Source organism: Homo sapiens, chromosome 17 (genome assembly GCF_000001405.40).
Source record: "Homo sapiens chromosome 17, GRCh38.p14 Primary Assembly".
NCBI classification, from domain to species: Eukaryota; Metazoa; Chordata; class Mammalia; order Primates; family Hominidae; genus Homo; species Homo sapiens.
Genome location: NC_000017.11, coordinates 18773322 through 18781054, shown reverse-complemented (window position 1 = coordinate 18781054; position 7733 = coordinate 18773322). Strand labels below are relative to the sequence as shown.

The 7733-nt window shown below is 43.0% G+C and overlaps 1 protein-coding gene across 18 annotated transcripts in view; it reads right to left on the bottom strand.

Annotated features, from left to right (window-relative positions):
- Nucleotides 1-1705: 1705 nt before the first annotated feature.
- Nucleotides 1706-7733, bottom strand: part of FBXW10 (F-box and WD repeat domain containing 10) — a 35296-nt gene continuing 29268 nt past the window's right edge. For 7 of the 18 annotated variants that reach the window (XM_047435121.1, XM_047435130.1, XM_047435127.1 and 4 more), the window contains 2 exons: nt 5863-5919; nt 1706-2580 (listed from right to left, as the gene is read on the bottom strand). In XM_047435121.1, coding sequence (XP_047291077.1) covers nt 1757-2580; nt 5863-5919 — 881 coding nt within the window. In that variant the 3' untranslated portion in view covers nt 1706-1756. Of the gene's footprint in view, nt 2581-5562; nt 5692-5862; nt 5920-7733 lie in introns of all 18 variants that reach the window. The other 11 variants (XM_047435125.1, XM_047435132.1, NM_001411059.1 and 8 more) reach the window with 7 other exon arrangements.

Genomic DNA, 7733 nt, shown 5'->3' with positions numbered 1-7733 from the left:
GGCCACAGTGGGCTCTAAGTGGAAAGCTTCATGGTCTGTTTTACGGAAGTATTTGCTGTCCACCCAATGCAAATTCTAAAGTCGTTCCCCCAGTGTCGCTGCCCCGAATGCAGGGGGGCGGGGTTTTATTGTATAATATAATTTTCTTTAAATATTTTACAAAGACTTACTCCTGTACAGTATTACTTTTGTACTTTAAATTGTAGAAGCAACTTTTTAAAATATGTTCTTGCAGAGAAGTAAAACGTTAAGAAAAACAAGGCAGGAGGACTCTAGAGTAACTAATGGACGGTATTATTATGGGAGGTATAAACTTAGACGCCAGGAGTTGAGACCTTGCGCCCTGGAGCTTAGGCGCCTGGGAACTCTATTGCCAATCATATCACCAACCTTTATGTACTTCTTTCATCAGTTGTAAAGTGGGGGTGATAATGGTTTCCTTACAGTGTAAGTATCTAGTAAATGGGAGACGTTATACTTACTACAGTTTTAAGTCCAGCCGCTCATGCTGTGATCTTGCCTGAACAAAGGATGTGAAATTAAGGGGCGTTAAGTCATCTTTGAAGCGGTGATGATGACAATATCCTATCTGTCTGGCCGAGTCAGACTGCTGTTGGCATAGTGGTATTTGCACGTGTCCTTAATTGAAGGGATTCTATTAAAATCACAAATTTTACGTGGCTGATTGCCAGTGCCATTTAAAACCTGATATTCTAATAATGAAAGGGGGAAAACACACACACGCGTTTCTAAAGGCAAGACATTTCGGCAGCACAATTGCATTCGTGCCCTTGGAGATGAAAAGCTAACAAATTTGGGGCCTGTACGTCCAGCCTGCCCATGGCAGGTTTTCAGTGGTCCACTCAGTGCTGTGGAGTTTTGTGTTGTTTTTCGTAGTTTTTGGTTTTTTAAGACATTGTGTTTGAATTCATTATCGTCTTTTAATTTTTAATAGCTAATTTTTAAAGCTAATTTTGTATTTTTAGTAGAAACGAGGTTTCACCACGATGGTCAGGCTGGTATCAAACTCCTGATCTCAGGTGAGCCACCCGCCTCAGTCTCCCAAAGTGCTGGGACTACAGGCGTGAGCCACCGCACCTGGTCAAGGCTTGAACTTTCTAATGGGCCATAGCTCTTGTAGTGGGCTGCACTCTTCTAAATTACCTGGTCCCTGCACCATAGTCCAAAGGTTTAAGCAGAAACCTCAATGCACTTGATGTTACTGGCCCTCTTTGTACAGAGGATAAATATGCTAATTCTCTTCCTTAGGAGTTAGCCCTGAGAAGGAAAAGCTCAATGTTGTCAAATGCAACAGGTCCACCCCACTGAGGGCTTCCCCTTTTAAATTCTTAATGGGTTTTATCAGGCTTCTGTGCAAAAATACCAGAAAACACCAATGCATGACCCTGATATAATCCCATAACTTCATTTGCCAGAAGAACTAATAGCACTAAATTGGTAGTGATGAATGGTATCTAATTTCCAGTGATCATCTCCCCATCCCCCATCAACGAAACTGGGCTTTCCTAATGCTCACTAAATTGTTTTCAGTGGGACTACAGATGCTAATCTCGCCCAACCTCCTTCTGTTTTCTTATTTTGATGATATCAAATATTTGGCTCAGAGGAAGATAACTGGGAGTTCCCACATTAATTACCAGGAAGAAACAGTCAAAAAAAAAAAAAAAAAGGCCAAATAGCAACATCCGCTTGGCTTTCTGTTTATTGTAAAACATTGTAATTTCCCAAGGCTGGTTTAGATAAATACATTTTGTCCAAGTTCAGGGGCCGCTGTTTTCCCTTGCTTCGTGAAATTATCAATAGGCAGGCCTTTGATCTTCCTGATCCATGCAGCTTTGCTGACTTTTCCTGGATCAACCACTCCAGTGGACTCCCTGGCCTGATATTCCTTCATCTTGGCTTCCTGGTGCTCCTTCTCCTCCTTCACGGTCAACAGCACGAACTCAGTGTTCACTCTAAAAGGATCAAGGGCTGTATAGATGCGAGGCCGTTCTTTCTTAAGAGACAGGGTGGCTGTGCCCACTTGTGGAGCTAGCATGCGGTTTGGTTTAATGACCTGCATACTGGTCAGGGGACCCGTACTGCACACAGCCCTTTCAATTGAACTGGTCACTTGGTCTCCACCCTTTAAGCTGCCAGAGAACCTGGAGCGGATAATCATGGGCTGGGGTATGGTGGACTGGACTCTAGGACTGTGCAAAGAGATCTTCAAGTTGGGCTGCAGTTTCTGGATTTCAAGGGGAATACTGGTTCGTTTCACATCTATAGGAGGATTGCTCAATCTCAACCGATCAACTGCACGTTGGATTGATTTTCCTTTGAAATTCAAGACCTTCCTTGGGTATGAAATTGAAGGTCCCCAGACATCAGTAATTTCTGTTTGGGGCCTACAGGGATAGGCAAATTCCCCGGAATTATGGGCGTGCTGCAGGGCGCTAACAGTCAGGAGGAATTGGTCAGGTGACATAGGGATTTTCCAAGACTTTTTCTTTGGGTGACTGGGCAGTTTTCCAGGAGTTTCCAATTGTCCTTGTTTTTGTGCTTTCTCCACATCATCTGCTTTTTCAAAAAAAAGAAAATTTTAAAAAATCGGCGTTCTATGAAAAATATTAAGTACGTATGCATTAAGTACTTGGGCATTCAAACTTCGAAGCACATTGAGGTCTTTGTTGCCCAACAGGTATGCCATCATACAGGCAGGCACCCTGAGTGGTATTAGAAATGCTGATACTAGAAACAATTTAATAAAACAAATTTTTTTGTTTGTTTGTTTTTGTTTTTGAGACGGAGTCTCGCTCTGTCACCCAGGCTGGAGTGCAGTGGCATGATCTCTGCTCACTGCAAGCTCTGCCTTCCGGGTTCACGCCGTTCTCCTGCCTCAGCCTCCCAAGTAGCTGAGACTACAGGCGTCCGCCACCATGCCTGGCTAATTTTTTGTATTTTTTTTAGTAGAGACAGGGTTTCACCGTGTTAGCCAGGATGGCCTCGATCTCCTGACCTCGTGATCCACCCGCCTCGGCCTCCCAAAGTGCTGGGATTACAGGCATGAGCCACCGCAGCCGGCCAATAAAACAAGTTTTTAATAAAATGCTAGTATTGAGTAAAGAGTATATTAGCCTCTAAGTGAGCATATTTTGAATGCAACAGATGTGATTTCAATGCTACACATATTTTTGAAAATGTGAAGTTGAGGCCGGGCGCGGTGGCTCACGCCTGTAATCCCCACACTTTGGGAGACCCAGGAGGGTGGATCACGAGGTCAGGAGATCCAGACCATCCTGGCTAACACGGTGAAACCCCGTCTCTACTAAAAATACAAAAAATTAGCCCGGCATGGCGGCGGGCGCCTGTAGTCCCAGCTACTCGGGAGGCTGAGGCAGGAGAATGGCATGAACCCAGGAGGCAGAGCTTGCAGTAAGCCAAGATCGCGCCACTGCACTCCAGCCTGGGCGACAGAGCAAGACTCAGTCTCAAAAAAAAAAAAAGAAAATGTGAAGTTGGGAATGACCTTCACATCTCATTTATGATTCACACAAAGCAGATCTTATAAATTTATAGTAGCATAACTATTTTTCAACAGTAATTATGTTGCAAAATTTGATCTTTACCTTATTAATCAAATTTGACTCCAAGTAATCTTGAATGTTGCCCAAAATAAAACCTGTCTTCAGGCTGGGTGCGGTGGCTCATGCCTGTAATCCCAGCACTTTGGGAGGCCTAGGTGGGTAGATCACCTGAGGTCGGGAGTTCGAGACCAGCCTGACCAACATGGAGAAAACCCGTCTGTACTAAAAATACAAAAAAATTAGCCGGGCGTGGTGGCAGGCGCCTGTAATCCTAGCTACTGAGGAGGCTGAGGCAGGAGAATCGCTTGAACTCAGGAGGCAGAGGTTGCGGTGAGCCGAGATCACGCCACTGCACTCCAGCCTGGGCAACAGAGTGAGACTCCATCTCAAAAAAAAAAAAAAAAACTGAGTGAAATCAAGATGTCAAAATCTTCCCTATTCTCCTTGCAAACTCAAAAAGAGAATTTTTCTCCTTTTATAAAAAAAGGAATTGTGATGAGCTCATTGTTTATTAATTTGTCTTTTTTCAAATGATAATGTATTGTGGATCTCTTTCCAAGTTAGTATATACAGATCCTCATCATACAATTTTTAGCTGTATATAATATTCCATACAATAGATTTTTTTATTACTTAGCCATTGCCCATTGATGGACATTTAGTTTGTTAATGGTCAACCTAGAAGAAAATGCGGACCCCATTTTTACTTATACAAGCAACTACAAAATGCCAGCTAACACCCAGAGTTGGCACAAATGCAGTGGGGTCTCTCATATATTGCAAGTAGGAGTGTAAATTGATACAGTATTTTTCAGGACAACCTTGGCAATATCTTTCTAGTTTTTGAATGCACTTATCCTTTGGCTTAGCAATTTCACTCGTAGGACTTTACCCTTCAGGTATACCTGTACAGGTACACTGACATAGGTATATACAAGGATGCCCATTGTTAGCGCAGCCCTCATAAAATAATTGTTTTCCCGTCAACTTCAAACCAGTCTCTGCACAGAGTTTGTTCCAAAGAAACACTACTATACTAGCCAAAAATATTTGAAAGACATTTTAAATTTTTACCAATGTCCTTAAAAAATAACAAAGGGACATCCCAGTCATGAGTCATGATGTCCAGAAACTTTTTTTTTTTTAAACGGAATCTTGCTCTGTCACCCAGGCTAGAGTTGCAGTGGCACGATCTCAGCTCACTGCAACCCCCACCCCTCTCTGGTTCAAGCAATTCCCCTGCCCCAGCCTCCCAGGTAGCTGGGATTACAGGCACATGCCACCCTGCCCAGCTAATTTTTTTATACTTTTAGTAGAGATGGGGTTTCACCATGTTGGCCAGACTGGTCTCGACCTCCTCACCTCAGGCAATCCGCTCATCTCCACCTCCTAAACTACTGGGATTACAGGTGTGAGCCACCGCGCCCGGCCACTTTTTTTTTTTTTCTTTTCTTTAAGAGGCAAGGTCTCACTGTCACCCAGTGGTGCAATCATAGCTCACTGTAACGTCAAGCTCCTGGACTCAAAGGATCCTCCCGCCTCAGCTTCCTGAGTAGCTAGGAGGTGCGTGCTACCATATCTGGCCAATTTTTTGAATTTTTGGTAGAGACAAGGGTCTTGCTAAGTGGCCCAGGCTGGCCTCAGACTCCTGGCCTTAAGGAATCCTCCCAACTTGGTCTCCCAAAGCACTGGAATTACAGGCATGAGCCACTATGCCCATCCTAGCAACACTTCTTAAAAGGTGCATCCCCATCTCTCTTTCTCCCTTATCTCTTTATCTCACATATATAGCACCTGCCCCAAATCTCTCTTCTTCCTAATGAAGTCTCTTAAAATTCTCTCTGAAACCAGCCTCAACTGCCTCTTCTCTCTTTTATTGTGCCCATTTCTCAGATTGATGACATAACAGTCCAAGAAGTGAGGAAGCTGGCAGGGAACAGAGGCAGGCAGTCAGCCAAAAACTGGAAACGCAAACCTTAGAAAGGTTCTCCCTCTGTGGCCTCAAGTCAGAAAAGGGACAATTAAGGAAAACCAGTCACTCTTGGGAGAAGCCAGGCATTGTATTCATTCCAGTTTCTCAAAGACAAGCAAAGGTAGTGGCCTGCTGGAAAACAATACGAAACTAGAGTGAGAGAAAGAGTTTGGATCTTGCCACTAATTCAGAATTAAGTATGACTTTTTGTCTTATCTCCTGCTGTGGATTTTGCTTCCAAATTCTCCTGCCCACCATCCGTGCCACTTGTTCCCTTATGAACAGAATAAACTCTCTTCTTACCATCTCTTCGGGGTGATTTTGACTTTCCTTGACTTTGAAGTTCCTCTATTAACACTGCTAAATTGAGATTGAGGAAGAAGCTGTAGTCATTATATACTTCGATTAGGGCATAAAATAATATAATCAATAATAATGGGGCTGATAATTGGACTGATTTTTATACAAAATATCACTATCTTGTTTTTTATGGGTACATAATTATACATAATTATGGAGTACATGTGATATTTTGATACATGCATAAAATGTGTAATGATCAGATCAAGATAATTAGGATATCCATCATCTTAAACATTTATCATCTCTTTGTGTTGGGAACATTCCAAATCTTCTCCTCTAGCTATTTTGAAATATACAATACATTATTGGTTTTTTGTTTATTTGTTTGTTTGTTTTTGAGATGCAGTTTCGCTCTTGTTGCCCAGACTGGAGTGCAATGGCACGATCTCGGCTCACCGCAACCTCCACCTCCTGGGTTCACGTGATTCTCCTGCCTCAGCCTCCCAAAGTGCTGGAATTACAGGCATGCGCCACCACACCGGCTAATTTTTTTGTATTTTTAGTAGAGACGGGGTTTCTCCATGTTTGTCAGGCTGGTCTCAAACTCCCGACCTCAGGTGATCCACCCGCCTCAGCCTCCCAAAGTGCTGGGATTACAGGCATGAGTCACTGCGCCCGGCTATACATTATTGTTAATTGTAGTCATCCTACCGTGCAACCAAACGCTGGAACTTATCCCTTCCATCTAACTGTATTTTTCTACCAAACACCATATTGTTTATTGTCGTATGAAACCAAGTAGTTACCTGGAGTCTGTGAAAAGTAAAGAGAGTGTAACAACCTTCTAAACTGACGTATGTGACAGGGAAAAGTGAAACCCTGGAAACTGAGTCACATAGCGCAGCTGTTTTCCTGCTCTGGTGCGTGACCATTCCTTCCAGACCTTTGTGCTGAGGTCTTTTCCATTAACCAGACTCTCTATTCTTCATTGAAACCAAGACTAAATGATGTGGAGATAGACACCCTTGTGATTGTCACCTCTTTACAGCAGAATGTTAAGCAACTCCCCTTGTGATTGTCACCTCTTTACAGCAGAATGTTAAGCAACTCCCCTTGTAATTGTCACCTCTTTACAGCAGAATGCTAAGCAACCATTAGAGTGTAATCAATAGTAGCCGATCTAGTCTTACATCTGTATGTTAGCCTTTGTATGGAAAACTGAATTCTGTTCAGCACCTCTGTTTTTGTCTATTTAAAGGATCTTCACTTTTCCCCACTCCAGGAACACTGGTCACTAGTCTTTGGTGCCCCTGTGTCCCTGGATGCTGCCCTCAAACTTTGCACTCGGGTAAACTCTTTTAGCTAGATCCTGAATCTTTTGGTTATTTTAGGTTGGCAATTCTAAGGCCTAGATCCCATCCTGATTCCCCCTCCCACCCACTTTTCCTACTGTTAAGCATTAGCTAACACTCTCAGTTCCCTCCTCTCAAGAGATAGCTGACTATTTGTAGTGTGATATGCTTGGGGGTGATTTATCATTGTTCTCTATAGATCTGTGGATCCAATTTCACATGCCAAATATAGGGCTGGTAAAAGGAAGGAGTCTTGCTACTCTAACCCACACATAATGTATTATTTGGATGTCTTATAAATGGCATTGGCCATGCCTGCACCCCCACCTACATACACACACACAAACACACACACACCTGCTTTATACGTAAGATTTTCCAGCTACAAACATTATCTCTCAGGTCTAAAAACAATACATTCTGCACAGATCATTTTTCTGCTTATAACAACTTCTGTCTCTGTCTTGAAGAAATAGTTATGTAATATATGTTTTGAATTTGGGGGGTGGGGGTATTGGT